The 23412-nt window shown below is 38.4% G+C and overlaps 1 long non-coding RNA gene across 1 annotated transcript in view; it reads right to left on the reverse strand.

Annotated features, from left to right (window-relative positions):
- Positions 1-347: 347 nt before the first annotated feature.
- The window catches only part of LINC02201 (long intergenic non-protein coding RNA 2201), a 101609-nt gene continuing 78544 nt past the window's right edge, over positions 348-23412 (reverse strand). Inside the window, exons 9-12 of the long non-coding RNA NR_109881.1 lie at positions 12529-12633; positions 11829-11887; positions 10285-10377; positions 348-820 (exon numbers count right to left, since the gene is read on the reverse strand). This is a non-coding gene — a long non-coding RNA (long intergenic non-protein coding RNA 2201). The remainder of the gene's footprint in view (positions 821-10284; positions 10378-11828; positions 11888-12528; positions 12634-23412) is intronic.

The following is a 23412-nucleotide window of genomic DNA, read 5'->3' on the forward strand; positions in this document are numbered from 1 at the left end:
AATGTCTTCAGGCCGGGTGCAGTGGCTCACGCCTGTAATCCTATCACGTGGGGAAGCCAAGGCAGGTGGATCACCCTGAGGTCAGGAGTTTGAGACCAGTTAACCAACATGGTGACACCCCATCTCTCCTAAAAAATACAAAATTAGTTGGGTGTGGTGGTGCATGCCTGTAATCCCAGTTACTTGAGAGGCTGAGGCAGGAGAATCGCTTGAACTAGGGAGACGGAGGTTGCAGTGAGCCGAGGTCGTGCCACTGCACTCCAGCCTGGGCAACAAGAGTGAAACTCCATCTAAATAAATAAATAAATAAATAAATAAATAAATAAATAAAGTCTTCAAAGGTAGCATAATTTCACTCTTACTCTTTTAATTGTGAGGTGCCAATGTGCCCTTTTCTTCTTGTTGAGTTAATTATTCATAGTAGGTTATTAAATTTGAAAACCACATAATCAACTGCAAATTTTTTAAATGTGGCTGTAAGTTCCCATCTACCTTTAGATACATAAAATAGGCAAAAAGTGTTTTGATTTTCAAAGAAGAGGAGTTCTCTCTTAATTAAAAGTCTGTGAAAGCCAAGGAGACTTTCAAATTTTTTTAAAGACCCCTTGTGTGAAATTTGCAATACATTTTTGAAATATGCCGCTGTCACAGCTGCCGTCTGATGAGGCTTGGGTTCCAATCTGTGCCTCTCCAGCAGTCTGTGCCACCATTGCTGCCAGGTGGCATCAGCTCCCGCTCAGCATCCTCCTCCTGTCTGCCATGAGGGAATAAAGCCGCATCTCCCTGGGAAGCTCCCACCGGTGACTCGGAAGAAATCTGTCTGCAGAAAAGAGATGGCAAGCATACTTGGAAATTTGAATTATTGCTGTAATCAGCACATTGCTTTCCTCCTTGTATTGAACCTTTGACATTGAAACAGTTTGCTTATACGTAGTTACAATATTTGTAATTTGCTTTGGGTTGAATTAAATGTAGTCATAGTTGTTTGTGGCTTTGAAGGAAGCAGAAAATATTTGTCTGCAAATTTAATGAAAATGAAATTAGCAAACTGATACTCAAGTAAGTCACCTTAAAACTTTGGTAATTACCAACTTATTATTTATTTTAAGAAAGTACCGTTAGAAGTGTCTATTTTAATTGGGCTGAGCCTAAAATTTAAAAAAAAAAAAAAAAAAAGCCTTACATAGAAAACATCTTTGTTGCTCCAAAGAAAAGTAGGTAATCCTTGGTTTAAGGCTAAGTATGCACATAAAGAAAATCAGAAAATGGAAGAAAAATGCTGAGAGCATCTGTAAACTTGGGCCTGCATCTTTTGTACTCCAAGGACAATTGTAGTAATTGTGCTGATGAAAGAAAATTTATGGATATAAGTCACTTGTGCCAATACAGCTCTGGCATATAGCTGTGGGTGCAGTTGGTGACTACAAAATCAGCCATTTGCAAGAAGACTTTTTTTCACCTTCAAAAGCTCCTCAAAGATTTTCCATCAATCCTTCACTATTAAATAGTGCATATCTTACTTTTTTCTTCTTAGACCATTGGAAAGACATTGGCGAGATTCCTGATCAATTTATATCCCAACATTGTATGACATTAAGGAAGAAATTTTCAGTCACTTCAAAATTGATTTCTTAAGCTGCCAACTTGCTTATACTATTATGGTAAGAACTTATAAAGCAAATAAAATCGCTTTCTACCTATAAAAGTGTGATTTGAAATCAACTTGCTGTCTAACCACAATATGTGGTGATTACAGAAATGCCAGCAAAAATAGCTCTTCATAAGAAAGATCATGCAGCCATGTCATAAAGTCATTTTCCTACTATTAGTTCTGCATCAACTCTCCCAAAACAGCATGATTTTACATTTCTTAAATATTTAATTTGTGTAACATGAGCACTTTTTGTACATGGTGGAGAAAAAAATTAACATAAGTGCAGGATAAAGTAAAATAATTACAATTTCCAAGGCTGTGCTTTCATTTTAGTGTTTAGATCTCTTATATACAAATATTCTTCAACATATACAATACACCTAACTCATATAACTAATCTTATTTTTCAGAGCTAGGAGTTGGGGAGGCAAGTGAGATGCCTAAGGCACAAAACTTAAGGAGATAGAGGGTTTTGGGGTCCTATCATACACTTATACTTTGCATCTGAAATGCCTCACCTGCCTCACGCTTATCCCAGCACTCCTGCTCCTAGTCCCACAGGAGTAACAGCCAATCTGCCATATTCATATTCAGATAGCTGTTGTTTTGTCCAATCACAAGTGTCTGGATATAGTTGCTTCCAAACTCGTCGTTTACATTAGGTATATCTCCTAAAGCTATGCCTCCCCCATCCTGCCACCCCAAAACAGGCCCCGGTGTGTGATGTTTCCCTTCCTGTGTCCATGTGTTCTCATTGTTCAATTCCCACCTATGAGTGAGAACATGCGGTGTTTTGTTTTTTTGTCCTTGCGATAGTTTTCTGAGAATGATGGTTTCCAGCTTCATCCATGTCCCTACAAAGGACATGAACTCATCATTTTTTATGGCTGCATAGTATTCCATGGTATATATGTGCCACATTTTCTTAATCCAGTCTATCCTTCTTGGACATTTGGGTTGGTTCCAAGTCTTTGCTATTGTGAATAGTGCCGCAATAAACATCCGTGTGCATGTGTCTTTATAGCAGCATGATTTATAGTCATTTGGGTATATACCCAGTAATGGGATGGCTGGGTCAAATGGTATTTCTAGTTCTAGATCCCTGAGGAGCCGCCACACTGACTTCCACAATGGTTGAACTAGTTTACAGTCCCACCAACAGTGTAAAAGTGTTCGTATTTCTCCACATCCTCTCCAGCACCTGTTGTTTCCTGACTTTTTAATGATCACCATTCTAACTGGTGTGAGATGGTATCTCATTGTGGTTTTGATTTGCATTTCTCTGATGGCCAGTGATGATGAGCATTTTTTCATGTGTCTGTTGGCTACATAAATGTCTTCTTTTGAGAAGTGTCTGTTCATATCCTTTGCCCACTTGTTGATGGGGTTGTTTTTTTCTTGTAAATTTGTTTGAGTTCATTGTAGATTCTGGATAGTAGCCCTTTGTCAGATGAGTAGGTTGTGAAAATTTTCTCCCATTCTGTAGGTTGCCTGTTCACTCTGATGGTAGTTTCTTTTGCTGTGCAGAAGCTCTTGAGTTTAATTAGATCCCATTTGTCAATTTTGGCTTTTGTTGCCTTTGCTTTTGGTGTTTTAGACATGAAGTCCTTGCCCATGCCTATGTCCTGAATGGTAATGCCTAGGTTTTCTTCTAGGGTTTTTATGGTTTTAGGTCTAACATTTAAGTCTTTAATCCATCTTGAATTAATTTTTGTATAAGGTATAAGGAAGGGATCCAGTTTCAGCTTTCTACATATGGCTAGCCAGTTTTCCCAGCACCATTTATTAAATAGGGAATCCTTTCCCCATTTCTTGTTTTTATCAGGTTTGCCAAAGATCAGATGGTTGTAGATATGTGGCATTACTTCTGAGGGCTCTGTTCTGTTCCATTGATCTATATCTCTGTTTTGGTACCAGTACCATGCTGTTTTGGTTACTGTAGCCTTGTAGTGTAGTTTGAAGTCAGGTAGCATGATGCCTCCAGCTTTCTTCTTTGGGCCTAGGATTGACTTGGCAATGTGGGCTCTTTTTTAGTTCCGTATGAACTTTAAAGTAGTTTTTTCCAATTCTGTGAAGAAAGTCATTGGTAGCTTGATGGAGATGGCATTGAATCTATAAATTACCTTGGGCAGTATGGCCATTTTCATGATATTGATTCTTCCAACCCATGAGCATGGAATGTTCTTCCATTTGTTTTTATCCTCTTTTATTTCCTTGAGCAGTGGTTTGTAGTTCTCCTTGAAGAGGTCCCTCACGTCTCTCGAAAGTTGGATTCCTAGGTATTTTATTCTCTTTGAAGCAATTGTGAATGGGAGTTCACTCATGATTTGGCTCTCTGTCACTGGTGTATAAGAATGCTTGTGATTTTTACACATTGATTTTGTATCCTGAGACTTTGCTGAAGTTGCTTATCAGCTTAAGGAGATTTTGGGCTGAGACAATGGAGTTTTCTAGATATACAATCATGTCGTCTGCAAACAGGGACAATTTGACTTCCTCTTTTCCTAATTGAATACCCTTTATTTCCTTCTCCTGCCTGATTGCCCTGGCCAGAACTTCCAACACTATGTTGAATAGGAGAGGTGAGAGAGGGCATCCCTGTCTTGTGCCAGTTTTCAAAGGGAATGCTTCCAGCTTTTGCCCATTCAGTATGATATTGGCTGTGGGTTTGTCATAGATAGCTCTTATTATTTTGAGATACGTCCCATCAATACCTAATTTATTGAGAGTTTTTAGCATGAAGCGTTGTTGAATTTTGTCAAAGGCCTTTTCTGCATCTATTGAGATAATCATGTGGTTTCTGTCATTGGTTCTGTTTATATGCTGGATTCCATTTATTGATTTCTGTATGTTGAACCAGCCTTGCATCCTAGGGATGAAGCCCACTTGATCATGGTGGATGAGCTTTTTGTTGTGCTGCTGGATTCAGTTTGCCAGTATTTTATTGAGGATTTTTGCATGGATGTTCATCAGGGATATTGGTCTAAAATTCTCTTTTTTTGTTGTGTCTCTGCCAGGCTTTGGTATCAGGATGATGCTGGCCTCATAACATGAGTTAGGGAGGATTCCCTCTTTTTCTATTGATTGGGATAGTTTCAGAAGGAATGGTACCAGCTCCTCCTTGTACCTCTGGTAGAATTCGGCTATGAATCCATCTGGTCCTGGACTTTTTTTGGTTGGTAAGCTATTAATTATTGCCTCAATTTCAGAGCTTGTTATTGGTCTATTCAGAGATTCAACTTCTTCCTTGTTTAGTCTTGGGAGGGTGTATGTGTCCAGGAATTTATCCATTTCTTCTAGATTTTCTAGTTTATTTGCATAGAGGTGTTTACAGTATTCTCTGATGGTAGTTTGTATTTCTGTGGGATCAGTGGTGATATCCCCTTTATCATTTTTTATTGCATCTATTTGATTCTTCTCTCTTTTCTTCTTTATTAGTCTTGCTAGCAGTCTATCAATTTTGTTGATCTTTTCAAAAAACCAGCTCCTGGATTCACTGATTTTTTGAAGGGTTTTTTATGTTTCTATCTCCTTCAGTTCTGCTCTGATCTTAGGTATTTCTTGCCTTCTGCTAGCTTTTCAATGTATTTGCTCTTGCTTCTCTAGTTCTTTTAATTGTGATGTTAGGGTGTCAATTTTAGATCTTTTCTGCTTTCTCTTGTGGGCATTTAGTGCTATAAATTTCCCTCTGCATACTGCTTTAAATGTGTCCCAGAGATTCTGGTATGTTGTGTCTTTGTTCTCGTTGGTTTCAAAGAACATCTTTATTTCTGCCTTCATTTCGTTATGTACCCAGTAGTCATTCAGGAACAGGTTGTTCAGTTTCCATGTAGTTGAGCAGTTTTGAATGAGTTTCTTAATCCTGAGTTCTAGTTTGATTGCACTGTGGTCTGAGAGACAGTTTGCTATAATTTCTGTTCTTTTACATTTGCTGAGGAGTGCTTTACTTCCAACTATGTGCTCAATTTTGGAATAGGTCTGGTGTGGTGCTGAAAAGAATGTATATTCTGTTGATCTGGGGTGGAGAGTTCTGTAGGTGTCTATTAGGTCCACTTGTTGCAGAGCTGAGTTCAATTCCTGGATATCCTTGTTGAATTTCTGTCTCGTTCATCTGTCTAATGTTGACAGTGGAGTGTTAAAGTCTCCCATTTTTATTGTGTGGAAGTCTAAGTCTCTTTGTAAGTCTCTAAGGACTTGCTTTATGAAACTGGGTGCTCCTGTATTGGGTGCATATATATTTAGGATAGTTAGCTCTTCTTGTTGAATTGATCCCTTTACCATTATGTAATGGCCTTCTTTGTCTCTTTTGATCTTTGTTGGTTTAAAGTCTGATTTATCAGAGACTAGGATTGCAACCCCTGCCTTTTTTGTTTTCCATTTGCTTGGTAGATCTTCCTCCATCCCTTTATTTTGAGCCTATGTGTGTCTCTGTGAGATGGGTTTCCTGAATACAGCACACTGATGGGTCTTGACCCTTTATCCAATTTGCCAGTCTGTGTCTTTTAATTGGAGCATTTAGCCCCTTTACATTTAAGATTAATATTGTTATGTGTGAATTTGATCCTGTCATTATGATGTTAGCCGGATATTTTGCTCATTAGTTGATGCAGTTTCTTCCTAGCATTGATGCTCTTTACAATTTGGCATGTTTTTGCAGTGGCTGGTACCAGTTGTTGCTTTCCATGTTTAGTATTTCCTTCAGGAGCTCTTGTAGGGCAGGCCTGGTGGTGACAAAATCTCTCAGCATCTGCTTGTCTGTAAAGTATTTTATTTCTCCTTCATTTATGAAGCTTAGTTTGGCGGGATATGAAATTCTGGGTTGAAAATTCTTTTCTTTAAGAATGTTGAATATTGGCCCCCCCTCTCTTCTGGCTTGTAGAATTTATGCTGAGAGATCCGCTGTTCGTCTAATGGGCTTCCCTTCATGGGTAACCCAACCTTTCTCTCTGGCTGCCCTTAACATTTTTTCCTTCATTTCAACCTTGGTGAATCTGACAGTTATGTGTCTTTGAGTTGCTCTTCTCAAGGAGTATCTTTGTGGTGTTCTCTGTATTTCCTGAATTTCAATGTTGGCCTGCCTTGCTAGATTGGGGAAGTTCTCCTAGGTAATATCCCAAAAAGTGTTTTCCAACTTGGTTCCATTCTCTCCGTCACTTTCAGGTGCGCCAATCAGACATAGATTTGGTCTTTTCACATAGTCCCATATTTCTTGGAGGCTTTGTTCATTTCTTTTTATTCTTTTTTCTCTAAACTTCTCTTCTCGCTTCATTTCATTCATTTGATCTTCCATCACTAATACCCTTTCTTCCAGTTGATCAAATCAGCTACTGAAGCTTGTACATTCATCACATAGTTCTTGTGCCATGGTTTTCAGCTCCATCAGGTCCTTTAAGGACTTCTCTGCATTGGTTAGTCTAGTTAGCCATTAGTCTAATCTTTTTTCAAGGTTTTTAATTTCTTTGCCATGGGTTCGAACTTCCTCCTTTAGCTCAGAGTAATTTGATCGTCTGAAGCCTTCTTCTCTCAACTCGTCAGTCATTCTCCATCCAGCTTTATTCCATTGCTGGCAAGGAGCTGCGTTCCTTTAGAGGAGGAAAGGCGCTCTGATTTTTAGAATTTTCAGTTTTTCTGCTCTGTTTCTTCCTCATCTTTGTGATTTTACCTACCTTTAGTCTTTGATGATGGTGACGTACAGATGGGGTTTTGGTGTGGATGTCCTTTCTGTTTGTTAGTTTTCTTTCTAACAGTCAGGACCATTAGGTGCAGGTCTGTTGGAATTTGCTAGATGTCCACTTCATACCCTGTTGGCCTGGTTATGAGCAGCGGAGGCTGCAGAACAGTGAATATTGCTGAACAACAAATGTTGCTGCCTGATCGTTTCTCTGGAAGTTTTGTCTCAGAGGAGTACCCGGCTGTGTGAGGTGTCAGTCTGCCCCTACTGGGGGGTGCCTCACAGTTAGGCTACTCAGGGGTCAGGGACCCACTTGAGGAAGCAGTCTGTCCGTTCTCAGATCTGAAGCTGCGTGCTGGGAGAACCACTACTCTCTTCAAAGCTGTCAGACAGGGACATTTAAGTCTGCAGAGGTTTCTGCTGCCTTTTGTTTTGGGATGCCCTGCCCCCAGAGGTGGAGTCTACTGAGGCAGGCAGGCCTCTTTGAGCTCTGGTGGGCTCCACCCAGTTCGAGATTCCCAGTGGCTTTGTTTACCTAATCAAGCCTTGGCAATGGTGGGCGCCCCTCCCCCAGCCTCACTGCAGCCTTGCAGTTTGATCTCAGACTGCTTTGCTAGCAATGAGCGAGGCTCCATGGGCGTAGGACCCTCCGAACCAGACACGGGATATAATCTCCTGGTGTGTCGTTTGCTAAGACCATTGGAAAAGCACAGTATTAGGGTGGGAGTGACCCAATTTTCCAGATGCCATCTGTCACCCCTTTCCTTGGCTAGAAAAGGGAATTCCCTGACCCCTTGCACTTCCCAGGTGAGGCGATGTCTCGCCCTGCTTCAGCTCACACTCAGTGTGCTGCACCCACTGTCCTGCACCCACTGTCTGTCAATTCCCAGTGAGATGAACCTGGTACCTCAGTTGGTGATGCAGAAATCATTCGTATTCTGCATCGCTCACGCTGGGAGCTGTAGACTGGAGCCGTTCCTATCAGCCATCTTGGCTCCGCCACCTGTATGATCTGTTTTTCTAATGACTTGGGGTCATCTATGGCTATGTCAAAAACTGAAACTTTGACCACAAGATTAATGATCACTTTTCCCCATCACTGACTGTGATTAAAACAAATTAAAACATTACGGTTTTCAAAGCCATCCACATTGTTTTTTTGGTTTTTGTTATTGTTGTTGTTGTTTTGCTTTTCTGAGTCAGGGTCTCACTCTGTCACCCAGGCTAGGGTGCTGTGTCATGATCATGGCTGACTGCAGCCTCAGACTCCTGGGCTCAAGTAATCCCCTCACCTCAGCCTCCCAAGTAGCTGACACTGCAGGAGCACATCAACACATCTGGCCAATGTTTTTAAATTTTTTTCAAAGCCCTCCACATTCTTACAGTTTTTTTTTTTATTGATTCATATTTATGCCTTACTTTTAATGCTGAAATATACCTTCTAAAACTTATTCCTGCCACTGAATTACCTCAGGCAAGTAACAATCCAGCACTTTTTGTACAGGAATACAATCTGAATAGTGATGAGTCTATGAAAAAATACAATCTTTTGCTGTAACAAGACATTAAGTAATATTGAGAGAATTTAGAAAATGTGACTAAATCCCAAAATATTGTTTTTTTGGTTTTTATTTTTTTTTTTTTGAGATGGGGTCTCACTCTGTCACCCAGGCTGGAGCGCACTGGAACGATCTCTGCTCACTGCAACCTCCGCCTCCCCAGTTCAAGTGATTCTCCTGCCTTGGCCTCCTGAATAGCTGGGATTACAGGCATGCACCACCATGCCTATCTAATGTTTGTGTTTTTAGTAGAGACAGGGTTTCACCATGTTGGCCAGGCTGGTCTCAAACTCCTGACCTCAGGTGATCCACCTGCCTCAGCCTCCCAAAGAGCTGGGATTAAAGGTGTCAGCCACCATGTCCGGCCTGTATTTTATTTTAATAATACTTACCAAATTATGGTTTGAAAACTTATTGGTAATATGAGTGAAATGGCCGAGGAGGAACCTCTGGCAATTGCTTCTATAATAAGTCATCACTGCTTTTCAGTCAAAGGTTACAAATATAAGTTATGGTATCTTTGCATTGTGTGTTTTTTAGTAAGGAATTCTATGGAGAATAATGCTTAGAAATTTGTTTCTGAAGCATTTCAAAAAGAATACATTGGGACTAATGGGCTATTTTCCCATGGGGAAGAATTTAGAACTGAAGTTCAGGAGAGTGGGCCTGACAACCTGCCCAGAGAGCTTGTCCATCTTTACTTTCTGGAGATCTTTGTCTCCAATTTTTTGTCCTTTTCTGCAGAACCCACTTGGCTAAACTTTCCTTTCACCACATAATATTCTTCCCTAGCATGGTCAGTGAATTCTGCTAAAATAACAGCACATAGCATTCATTCTGCATTGACTGTGGCTTGAGTGGTTATAGGTGTAAAGAAATTGACAGTTACAGCCAGGATTCCTGGCTAGGGAGTGGGCAAAAAGGGGCCTCTCCACAATCACAGGGTTGTCTTGATGCTCCTGACACCCCCAAGGCTGCAGAGAAGCCAGTCAAAACATCTGTATTCCTCACTCCCAGCCCTCACCTCAGACAGAAGCTTCTGGAAGTTCCCCAGCAGACGCTCAGGCTCTCTGGAGACCATGGTGGAGACCTAAACTACAGTGAGGACTATTGATCAGAGAGATGAACAAGCCCTGATAGCAAATCCAGCAGAAACCTCACCACTTTTTTTTCCCTGATAGCAAATCCAGCAGAAACCTCACCCCCTTTTTTTTTTCTCCCTGAAGACCTTTTCAAACCCTTCTCTATTCACTGAGTAGAAAGCAATAAATTAGAGCAGCAGGCTCAGAACTTGGAAGGCTCTGGCGGACAGGGTTAGGCTGAGTTATTGTTTTCTGTAACCCTCCTGCCTGCCCAGGAGTCATACATAATGGAGAAGGAGGTAAATAAGAATTAAATACCTGAAGTCTCTTTTTTCTTCTGTCCTTGATTACACCACTATTTTATTTATGATTCCCCAAAGAGAAGGAAACTTCCCTTATGTGCCACTGCTTCTGTAAATTGTTAAAGAATCACAAAAATGAAATACTTCACAGAAGGTTTTTCTCTATTATCTCTTTCCTGCCGTACTGACCCTTTAGAAGTGATGGTTTACCCATATGTGTTCCGGCTCACCTCTGCCATAGCCACCCGATCCCCATCACCCCCAGCTACAACCAGCTATAATCTCGCTGTATCTTATTTGCCAGTGGAGATCAAATGTATCTTAAGTCCGCACTGAGCTTGGTATAGTGTTACTAGTAGCGTCCAGGTTTTGCTTTATATAATATTGTTTTGCATCTCAGGGACAGTGTGCATGGCACACAGTGTACATTCTTTGTTTCATCTCTGCCTGAGAATTGAGTGCACAACACATGGGAGCAGGGAATAGGGGAAATGCAAACAGCTTAGGTTTGGTTTGGTTTTAAATACTATTCTCAATAGCTTGGTGGGGGATGGGAAGTAGGGAGTGTTTGTGTGAATTATTTGTGTAGTCTCTCAAGATGTCACTTTTCTTTGCCCAAAGATCAAAGAAAAATGTGTACAAACGAGAATACAAGGCTGTCTCATTCTGAATCTTTTTGGAAATTTCCAGCATTCAGTTATTTCCTCTAAACCAAATTTCAGGATTTTTGTTTCATACCCCTTACCCCTACCACCAGGAACTTTAAGAGACTGGGGATACAGGTTCTTCTTTCATGTTCTCTTCCTGCTAGAGGAAATGCCTTCTTAATAGAAAGGACTTGGAGTGTGAATAACAGGTTAGATGATGTCAAAGAAGAGACCAACATGATACCAGAAAGAGAAAGTCTTTGTGAAATAATTCTCCACAGATTCAAGGGGAAAAAAATGCAATGGAAAATAAAATCTGACACACATGACAGGCAGGATTCTTTAAGGACTTAAGTTAACCAAATATTCTCATTTTCTACCTTTTAAGACTTATTGTATGTGCTGTTCCATCAGACCAAAATAAGGCAGGTTTGAGGGAGAAATAAAGCCCAAAATGGAGGACACATTACACTGAAATTGCATTAAGGAGTGGTTTATTCATGGGAACGCAGCTATACGAACTCTGAGTCAGAGATATTAATAGTAGGCAAACTTGCCCACATTGATTCACTGAGTTCACATCAAGCTCCACAGTTTGCCTGACATGAAGCCTTTGAGTCTGTTGCCCCTCCATGAGTCTCAGCTCTGTGTGCCCTCATAGTGACTGCACTGTATTTTTTTCATAGAGGCTCTTTATTTTATACTATGTACACTATATATCTATTCATATCATATATATATAATATATATGGCATTGTATACCCAAATCATATTCTGTATCAGCAATTTAAGGGGATTTCAAGAGCACTTTTGTCTTTACTCAATTTTCATTTCACATACTGACTTTACAAGTTAACTTCCATGTGTGATCACTGTAATAATTAAGCTGTTTTGATTAATTATTACAAATTACCATAGCTGCAGTAACTGAAGGGCCCTGAAGGTGCATTCATGCAAAGTTCGCTAGCGATGCTTGAAGAATCACAGAAAATGCAAAGATACCAGAAGAGAGAGAAATGGAAAAATTAACCAATTTTCTAAAGAAAGATAAAAATATATTCCAGAAATTAAAAACCATCAAATTAATTTGATACCAATATCTAGAAACAAAATACAATTTTAAGATATTTAAATAACTCGGAAGCATTTGGGAAATACAATTAGCAAATGTAATTATACTATGAATAATTCATAGCAAACAAGGCTAATTTAATTTTTTGACCATACTTTCACTGTTTTTTTAAGGAAAAGTCATAAAAATGGTATATCTTAATTTTATTCTATTCTAATAGACAAAATAGAGAATAATATTAATTTATGGATTGCATCAAATTAGAGGGAGCTTGCAGTGGAGTCCTTTATTATTTTGCACTTAGAAATGCCATGGTTTAAATATTTGTCACCTCCAAAACTCATGTTGAAATTTAATCCTGAAGGTGGAAATATTGAGAGGTGGGACTTTTAAGAGTTATTTGGGCCATGAGGGCCCTGCCCTCATGAATGGATTAATCCATGCACAGATTAGTGGATTAACGGGTTATCATGGGAGTGGGACTGGTGGCTCTATAAGAAGGAGAAAAGAGACCTCAGTTAGCACACTTAGGCCTCCTTACCATGTGATGTCCTCTGCTGCCTCAATACTCTTCAGAGAATCCTCACCAGCAAGAAAGCCCTCACCAGATGTGGCCCTTTAACTTTGCACATGTGAGCATCCATAACTATAAAAAATAAATACGTTTTCTTTATAAATTACCCAATTTTAAGTATTCTGTTATAAGCAACAGGAAATTTATCAAGACAGTCCCATCTTGTCCAACATTTCTCTTTAACATCTTGGATGAAAAGCATAGAACAATTATACCTTGTTTGTGGATTTAAAAAAGCTGAACAGGAAAGCAAACACAGACAATTAGTATTGCCCGCCCCCCTCCCCTCCCCACACACACATGAGTAAACCTCATTAAACTAAAACTGAAGAGCAAAGCTAATAAAACTTCATTTAATCGGGAGAAATATAAAGTCTTCATTAAGGTGCAAAATTTAATTTTCCATGCACAGGATTAAGTAGATCCGTCTTGAAAACACATCTTTGGAAAAAAAACTGTTCTTTTTGTGGACTGAATATGCAACAGGAGTCAATCATGTGATGTATCTACCAAAAAACAACTGCAATCTTTAGTTACATTTTCAGTCCCCAAGAAAACGGGAGATTATCTGCCCACTGTGCTCCATACTAGTTGACGACACGTGGAGTATCGTCTTGACTTAAGGGGGATGCACCTTAAATCTAATCCATCTTTAACATGACAGCTTTTCAAATATTTGAAGACAGCTTCCAAGCTGCCTTTTCCAAGCTAAGCATCCCTCTTCCCAATAGAACAAGTTGTTATGTCACCAGGACAATTCCTTGTTAAAGACACTGCCCTCTACACATTTGTCAGCAACTCTTTGTAGTTATGTCATACAACTGAATGGGATGAACAGGATTGAACAGGATGTTCCAGATGTAGAATGACTGGCATAGAAGAGAGTAGGACCTTCACCTGCCCTGTGCAAGTTATTCTTCTATTAACCAAATCTAAAATTACAGTGCAGCTACATTATATATATACTTGCATTTAATTTATACTAATTCTACTATGTGTTTCACCAAAAATAAATTGAAAAGGATACTGCTCACTCAGTGAACACATGCTCCAGAGTAAACATGAAATGAGCAATGTGAATGGGGCATTCACGTTTCACAAATTGAACAGTTTTGATGGTGAGGGCAAAGTGTCACTCACCCTTATGCTTATGAGTGTCACTTATGACACTTAGGAGTGTCATTCATAAGCATAAGGATGAGTGTCACTCATCCTTACTGCTGTCCTTATGGGAAATTTCAGATTTTCAAGATACCTTTGACTTGATGAGAATTTTGTCTTTTTGTCACTTTTGATAACAACATGAGATTCAAGTCTTCTGTATTTTTTTTCTTTTTGGCAGTCACCTCACGTTGTTGAATTTATAGCATTTTTTTTTTTTTTTTTTGAGACGGACTCTCACTCTGTCACCCAGGCTGGAGTGCAGTGGTGTGATCTTGGCTCACTGCAACCTCCGCCTCCCGGGTTCACCTGATTCTCCTACCTCAGACTCCCAAGTAGCTGGGATTACAGGTGCACACCACTATGCTCGGCTAATTTTTGTATTTTTAGTAGAGACGGGGTCTCACCATGTTGGCCAAGCTGGTCTCGAACTCCTGACCTCAAATCGCCCACCCGCCTCAGCATCTGGAAGTGCTGGAATTATAGGTGTGAGCCACTGCACCCGGCCTATAGCCAATTTTTAACAACAGTCTTTTCATACAAACACATTTATATAAAAATGTAAATCAATTCTGCTCTATCTTATACTTTTAGAGTTGTTTTGTTTTGTTTGAGCCTAAGTACAGGATTTTATGTTTATTCCTATTACATTTCTTCCTATTACATACGACTCATCATTCCATATTAATGATTTAGGGGATCAAATTGCTATTAATATTATATTCAGCCTTGTGTCATCTAGTTTCCATAATAAACCAAAGCCTACAGCCTCCCTCTTGGTTGCCATTGCTGATTCATTAAGACTTTTGCACATGTAACAAACCTGCACATATACCCCCTGAATCTAAAATAAAAGTTGAAAAAGACTTTTGCATGAATTACTATATTTCACTGATTCTAAAGTGAATATCTCTTTCACATTTTACATATTTGAAATTATGGCTTAAAATCAGTGGGATCTTCAAGAGAATGAGAAGACAAGCCACAGAGTGGGAGAAAATATTTGCAAAATACATATCTGATAAAGGGCTATTATTTAAAATATACAAAGAACTCTTAAAACTTAACAATAAGAAAATGAACAACCCAATTTAAAAATGGGCAAAAGACCTAAACAGACACCATAACCAAAAATCATAGGAAGATGGTGAATAAACATTTACAAAGATGTTCAACATCATCTGTCATTAGGGAATTGCAAATTAAAACAACAATGAGTTACCACTATGTACCTATTAGAATGGCCAAAATTCAAAACACTGTCAACACCAAATGCTATTGACAATGTGGAGCAACACAAACTCTCATTCATTGCTGATGGGAATGCAAAGCAGTACAGCCACTTTGGAATACAGTCTAGGAGTTCCTTACAAAACTAGACATACTCCTACCAGATGATCCAACAATCATACTTGTTGGTATTTACCCAAAGGAGTTGAAAACTTACGTTCTCACAAAAACCTGCACATGGATGTTTGCTGCAGCTTTACTCATAATTGCCAAAACTTTGAAGCAACTAAGATGTCCTTCAGTAGGTAAATGGATAAATAAACTATGATATATCCAGATGATGGAATATTATTTGGCGCTAAAAAGAAATGAGCCATCAAATGAAAAGATACAGAGGAAACTTAATGCATATTACTATGATAGAACTTAAATAAAAGCAGCCTGTCTGAAAAGGCTACATACTATATAATTCCAACTACATGACATTCTGAATAAAGCAAAACTATGGAGACAGTAAAATGATTAGTGGTTCCCAGATATCAGTGGGTAGAGAGGGATGAATAGGCAGAATACAGAGGACTTTTGGGGCAGTAAAACTATTCTGTATGATAGTATAACAGTGGATACATGTCATATACTTGTTCAAACCCATAGAATACACACCACCAAGGGTGAGCCCTATTGTAAACTATGCACTCTGGATGGTAATGATGTGTCAGTGCAGGTTCATTGATTATAACAAATATCCTAACCCTTGTGCAAGATATTGCTAGTTGGGCAGTTTGTGTGGGGGACGTGGGGTAGATAGGAAGACTCTGTACTTTCTGCTCAAGTTTACTGTGAACCTAAAATTGCTCTAAAAACTAAACCTTATTGCTGGGCATGGTGGCTCATGCCTGTAATTCCAACACTTTGAGAGGCTGAGGCGGGCGCATCTCAAGAGCTCAAGACCAGCCTGGCCAACATGGTGAAACCCCATCTCTACTAAATACAAAAAAAAACAATTAGCCAGGCATGGTGGTGGGTGTCTGTAATCCCAGCTGCTTGGGAGGCTGAGACAGAAGAATCGTTTGAACCTGGGAGGTGGAAGTTGCAGTGAGCTGAGATTGTGCCATTGCACTCCAGCCTGGGCAACAAGAGAGAAACTGTCTCAAAAAAAAAAAAAAAATTAAACCTTATTATTTAAAAAAAAAAATCAATGTGATCTTAAAATCCCTGTTGGCCAGGTGATAGCCATGATATGGCAGTCATTACCTATAGATGCACAAACATGGTCATTGCTGCTCATATTATCAGCACTTCACATGAGTTACATGTACTGTTGAGATTTCTCATGTTAACTTTAAAATTTCTTCAAAAAGATTACACTATGATTTGTTACTAAAACAAAAAGTTATAATAGGCATGGAATAGCACAGAAACAGAGCAATGAGGTACACATTTCATATTAATCAGCAAATAATAGCCATTGGGGTAATGACCACACTCTGTGTTTTCTTGTGAATGGCACGACCTAGGAAAGAAGTGTCATAAGTTCATGAAAATGTGCTGCATTTTATTCCTGAGATAAGTACAAAAGGACCATCAAGTGACAAGTAATGTATTTAAGAGAAATTAAATATATTTAAGAGAACTATGATTACTTTCCTGCTGAATTCTACCAAATATTTAAAGAACTAATACCAATTCTTCTCAAACTCTTCTTGAAAATTGAAGAGGAAGGAATTATTCGAAACTCATTCTATACTCATTCCATGAGGCCAGCATTACCCTGATACCAAAACCAGACAAGGACAAAAAAAAAAAAACTGCAGGCCAAAATACCTGATGAACATAGATGCAAAAATTATCAGCAAAATACTAGCAAAGCAAATCAAACTGTACATAGAAAAGACTGTAAACCATGATACCATGATCAAGTGGGATTTATCCCAGGTTTGCAAAGATGGTTTAACATATGCAAATCAATAAACACAATATATCACATCAACAGAATGAAGAACAAAACCCGTCTGATCATCTCAACAGATGCAGAAAAAGCATTTGATAAAATTCAACATCGCTTCATGATAAGAACCTTCAACAAACTAGGTATAAAAGGAGCATATCACAAGACATTAAAGGCCGTATATGACAAACCCACAGCTAACTTTGTACCGAAGCTTTGACCTTTTCCTGGAACAAGACAAGGATGCCCACATTCACCATTCTTATTCAACATAGAACTAGAATTCCTAGCTAGAACAATTAGGCAACAGAAAGAAATAAAGGACATCCAAATTGAAAAGGAGAAAATAAAATTTTTCCTACCTGCCAATGGCATGATCTTACATATAAAAAAACCCTAAAAGCTCCACCAAAAGACATTTGGAACTGATTAAACAAATTCAGTAAAGTTACGGAATACAAAATTAATATCAAAAATCAGTAGCATTTCCTTACACAAACAACCAACTGGTGGAAAAAGAAATCAAGAAAGTAATCCCATTTACAAGATAGCCTTAAAAAATACCTAGGAATAAATTTAATCAAGGAGGTGAAAGACCTCTACAAGGAAAACAATAAAACACTGATGAAAAAATGAAGAAATCACAAAGAGATGAAAACATATTCATGGATGAGAAGTAATATTTGAAAATAACCACACTACCAAAAGTGATCCTTAGATTCAATGCAATCTCTATCAAAATACCGATGAATTCTTCACAGAAATTTTTTTAATCCTAAAATTCATATGGAACTACAGAAGACTCTGAAGAACCAAGACAATCCTAAGCAAAAAAGAATAAAGCTGAAGGCATCACACTGCCTGACTTTAAAATATACTACAAAGTTACAGACAGTAACCACAACAGCATGGTACTGACGTAAAAACAGAGACATAGACCAATAGAACAGAATAGAAAATCCAGAAATAAATCTACATATTTACAGCCAACTAATTTTCAACAAAGGTGCCAAGAACATTCAGTGAAGGAGAGACAGACTGTTTAATAAATGGTGCTGGCAAAACTTGATATTCATATGTAGAAAAATGAAACTAGACCCCTATCTCTCACCATATATAAAAGTCAAACCAAAATGGGTTAAAGACTTAAATGTAAGATCTGACACTATGAAATTACCAGAATAAAGCACTGGGGAAATACTTCAGGACACTGGTCTGGGAGATGATTTTTTGGATAAGACCTTGAAAGCAGAGGCAACAAAACCAAATATAGACAAATGAGATGGTATCAAGCTAAAAAGCTTCTGCATGGCAAAGTAAACAGTCAACAGAGTGAAGCGTCAACCTGTAGAATGGAAATAAATATTTGCAAATTATCCATTCAACAAGAGATCAATAACCAGAATACATACAGAATTCAAAACAACATAATAGCAAATAATCTGACTTCAAAATAGGCAAATGACCTGAATAGACATTTCTCAAAAGAAGACATATAAATGGCCAACGGGCATATCAAAAAAATTATCAACATTACTAATGATCAGGGAAACACAAAACCACAAAGAGATAGCATCTCACACCTGTTATAATGACTACTGTCAAAAAGACTATAAATAGCAAATGCTGGTGAGGATGCAGAGACAGGGGAATGCTAGTACAATGCTTATGGGAATGTAAATTAGTATAACTACTATGGAGAACAATATGGAGATTCCTCAGAAAACTAGAAATAGGTCTACCACATGATCCAGCAATCCCACTGCTGGGTATGTATCCAAAAGAAAGGAAATCAGTATATTGAAGAGATATCTGCACACCCATGTTTATTGCAGCACTATTTACAATAGCCAAGATAGGGAATCAACCTGTGTCCATCAACAAACGCTTGGATAAAGAAAACATTATATATATATATATATATATACATATATATATAAAAAAAATAGAATACTATTTAGCTGTAAAAAAGAATGAAATTCTGTCATTTGCAAGAATATGGATGGCGTTGGAAGGCATTATGTTAAGTGAAATAAGCCAGGCACAGAAAAATGAATATCACATGTTCTCATTCATATGTGGGAGCTAAAAAAGTGAATCCCATGGACGTAGAGAGTAGAATGATAGTTACCAGATGCTGTGAAGGGTAAGGGGAGAAGGAAATGAAGACAGTTTGATTAATGGATACAGAATGCAGTTAGATAGAAAAACTAAGTTTTAGTATTTGATAGCACAGTAGAGTGACTATAGTTAACGATAATTTATTGTAGATTCACAATAGCTAGGAGAGAAGATTTGAAATATTCCCAACACAAAGATATGATAAACATTAGAGGTGGTGGATATTATAAGCATCCTGATTTGATCACTACATATTGTATGCATGCCCCCAAAATATTACATGTACCCCATAATTATTATGTGCAATTATTATGTATTAATAAAAAAAATCTTCAAGTCAAAGATACATGATCTTATCCACTTACACACTTGATCCATACACCTGTTGCAGATAAAACTTCCATGGTCCTTTAGAACAACCAGGAGTGAACTGAGTAGTGAGAATTTTTCCTTGGCAGATGTGAAAGCAATTGTAAGACAAGCATACGAGTGAAGTCTACAAAGGATAATGAAAGAGCCTAGTGCATGGTTGTTAGAAAGTGAATGCAATCAATGGAGACAGCATAATTAGACAGCAATTAAAAAACGGAAATTTGATGCACCTGGATCAGACATAGCATAACTTCTCTTAGATACGATATTTTCGCTATGAAAATTTGTGCAAAGTGTGATTTTGCACACTTTGAAACATTTGATCAGTTAAAAGAGCCTAAAAACCTGATTCAGGAGGCATATACTTTTTGAAGCAAAGTTGATAGTTAACAGGACATCCTAGTCTAAGGTAACTAGGACAAGCACCTTCACGACTGCAATAGCATCCTAACTTTCCTACCTGCACCCACTTTTGCATCCTGAAATCCTTTCTGCATGCTTTCTAAATACAAATGCACACACATTAATGGGTTTAGACATCTGCATGATTTTCGATTACTCTTAAGAAAAATTCAAAACTCCTTCATGTGGCTCGGTCTGGACCAACTCTCCAGCCTCATCTCACTGCACGATGGCATTGTTGGCGCCAGACACTAAGTTCTTTCAGTTCCTTATATATGCCATGCTCCTGCTTATTGGTGGTTTCTCTGCCTGGTGTTTCACTTACCACTTCACTTCGTTTGGTAAGCTCCTATTCATCCTTCAGCTGCCAGTTCAGTGGTCACTTTCTCAGGGAAGCCTTTCCCAGCCTCCCTGACTACAGCAAGTTTTCTGTACACACACTGCACCATGTCTGTCTTTTGCACCATGTCTGTCTTTTGCACCATGTCTCTCTTTTTCATGGCAGTTAACCTGGTTAAAATTTTTCACTTATTTGTGTGATTATTTGATCAATGCTTTATCTGGTCCTTCCCACACACAAAACAAAAACTGCAAGCTCCAAGGATATAGTAACCATCTTTCTACTCGCCATTGTAATCCCTACTACTATTCCATTATGAAGTGGGTACTCACTAAATGTTAAATGAATTAATGTTAAGTAAAGACACCTCCATATTTCTTCTTTATTTTCTGTAACCACTTCTCATAAATCCTGGAAGTTGGCAGCCCTAATCAAATATGTCTTATTATAATGTTAACAAAATGTGGTGAAAGACCTCAAAAAGATAAAGCTGAAGTGCTCTTCCCATTAATGGTTTGCAATTACACAAAGACTAATGTTTTAAGGAGGATAAGATAGCTAAATGATGAATGGTTGTGATTCCACTGATAAAGAATGCAATTCCTCAGCCAGGTGCTGTGGCTCACTCCTGTAATCCCAGCACTTTGGGAAGCTGAGGTGGGCTTATCTCTTGAGGTCAGGAGTTCGCGGCCAGCCTGGCCGACACAGTGAAACCCTGTCTCTCCTAAAAATACAAAAATTAGCTGGCTGTGGTGGTGCATGCCTGTAGTTCCATCTACTCAGGAGGCTGAGGCAGAAGACTCACTTGAATCTGGGAGGTGGAGGCCGAAGTAAGCCAAGGTCGTACCACTGCACTCCAGCCTGGGTGACGAGAGTGAGACCCTGTCTAAAACAAACAAACAAACAAACAAAAAACAAGAATGCAATTTCTATTATCTTTTTTGTCATATTTGTGATTAACTTCTAAAAAAACAAACAAACAAAAAAACCTACCCAGCCAGAAATAGATATTTTCTTAGGAGAAAACTTCTTGTTAGAGAGGCTCAATTTTAAAAGTGTTAGCTTAGTCAATGTTCTGCATCACTTAAGAATACATAGGGACGGAATGCCTCCGTGATTATAGGGATTTGTTTTTATAAAATCTCAACAATGTCAGTTCTACTTTTTCTGACATTGAAATTGCCTAGGTGCTTTGGAAGACCCTTCAACTACAGAGCAATTAACTCCTGGTTTAAGACACCACTTCTGTGTAAAGATACTTCGCCTTCCAGGCCAGGCACGGTGGCTCACGCCTGTAATCCCAGCACTTTGGGAGGCCAAGGCGGGCGGATCACGAGGTCAGGAGATCGAGACCATCCTGGCTAACACGGTGAAACCCCGTCTCTACTAAAAATACAAAAAAAAATAGCCGGTCGTGGTGGCGGGCGCCTGTAGTCCCAGCTACTCGGGAGACTGAGGCGGGAGAATGGCCGGAACCCGGGAGGCGGAGCTTGCAGTGAACCGAGATCGCGCCACGGCACTCCAGCCTAGGACACAGAGTGAGACTCCGTCTCAAAAAAAAAAAAAAAATACTTCCCCTTCCGAAAAAAAAAATAGAATTAGCTAGGATTGGCGGTGGTGCCAAAACAATAGGCTATGGGGAGAGATTACTATGCTTCTAAGCAGTTATCAATGGTAGTGGTGCCATCTGGAAAATTAGTCTTGGCAAAATAAGTCTGGTCTAGCAGTTACGTCGGAAGGGATCCTAGGATTTTCCCCATTGAGCTGTGAGCATCGAGAGTAGTTGACAAGGTCCCACAGTTAATGGCTACTTCTGGCTACTGGCAGAGGCAAAGTGAATCTTCTCTGGAAGAAAGCTTCCTTAGTTATCAACTTGCGAACAGTGACTCCCATTGAATAAAATCAAGACGTGAATTCACAATCCAATAGCTCAAACACAAAAGAAAGCAATCCATTATGTCTGAGAGACAGTGAACAAAACCAATTATTTTAGACCCTCTTCTCAACTACTGCAGTTATTAAAATGGTCAGATAGAAAAATACAGACCTGCCTTGTAGGTAATATTTTGAAAAATTGAGGATGCATCACATAAAAGACAATCCCAACAGGAAAAATCCCAACAGATTTGAAAAGAAATAAATGCAGCTTTTAGACATTTTTTTAAATGGCATTATTAAAATTAAAAAACTAATCCACAATTAAAGGCCAGATAAGACATTTTAAGAGAGAAATAGTAAACCAGAATGTACGTCAAAAAAATACCTAGCGTATAGTGCAAAATGACGAGATGGAAAAATATTTTTGAAAAACATTAAGTGAAGCGGAAGATAAAATGAGAAAGTCTGCATACATCTAATCAGAATCCCAAAAGGAGAGAATAAAGAGAATGCAAAATAGGAAACAAAATGAGATCTAACAGGCTATCTACAAAGGCACGACAATGAGAATTACACAGTTATCTCAACAAAAATAATGGAATAAAAAATGTATACCCAGAAGAACTCTCTTTTAAGAGAACGAGGGTAAAATAAAGATTCTTTTTCACCCAAAGGAAGTAGATTTCCACCAAGGAACCAGCCAAAATAACTTCTAAAGGATATATTTCAAGATAAAGAATCATTCCAGAATGATAGTTTGAGATGTGGGGAGAAATAATTTTTCAAAAAGGCAAACATATCTATAAGGACAAACATTATATAAAATAATAATAATACACACAGAATTAAAGTACTGGAAAATAATAGCATATAGGTCAGAAGAGGAGTGATGAAAGTTAAAACATTCTAGGATCCTTGCATATTTTAGGAGAGAAGTTAAGATATTATTTAACTTCAAACTCTGATAACATTAAGTTAAGCATGCATGATAATATCTCAAGGATAATAATCAAAAGAATAGAATAAATTTACAGTGTACAAGACCAAAGCATGAGAGATAAAAATACAGAATAATACAAAAATAAACTAACAAAAGTTCAACAAAAATGTAAATAGATTAAACTCATTAGTTAAAAGGTGGAAATTATGAGATAACATTTTTAAGTCCAGCTATATACTGTAAAGAAGAAAACATCTAAGCATAAGAGTTTAGAAAGGTTGAACGTAAAGGGATGAAAAATTATATCCCAGACAGCTATTAGCAAAAAGGAAGCTGGAATAGCTATTTGAATGGTAGTTGCAATAGGTTTTAAGACACAACATCTTAATAAAAGGTTAAATTCACCAGAAATACATTGCATTATAAAATTATGTACATCTAATAAAAAACAGCCCCAAA

The sequence above is a fragment of the Homo sapiens genome, chromosome 5 (assembly GCF_000001405.40).
Source record: "Homo sapiens chromosome 5, GRCh38.p14 Primary Assembly".
Lineage (NCBI taxonomy): Eukaryota > Metazoa > Chordata > Mammalia > Primates > Hominidae > Homo > Homo sapiens.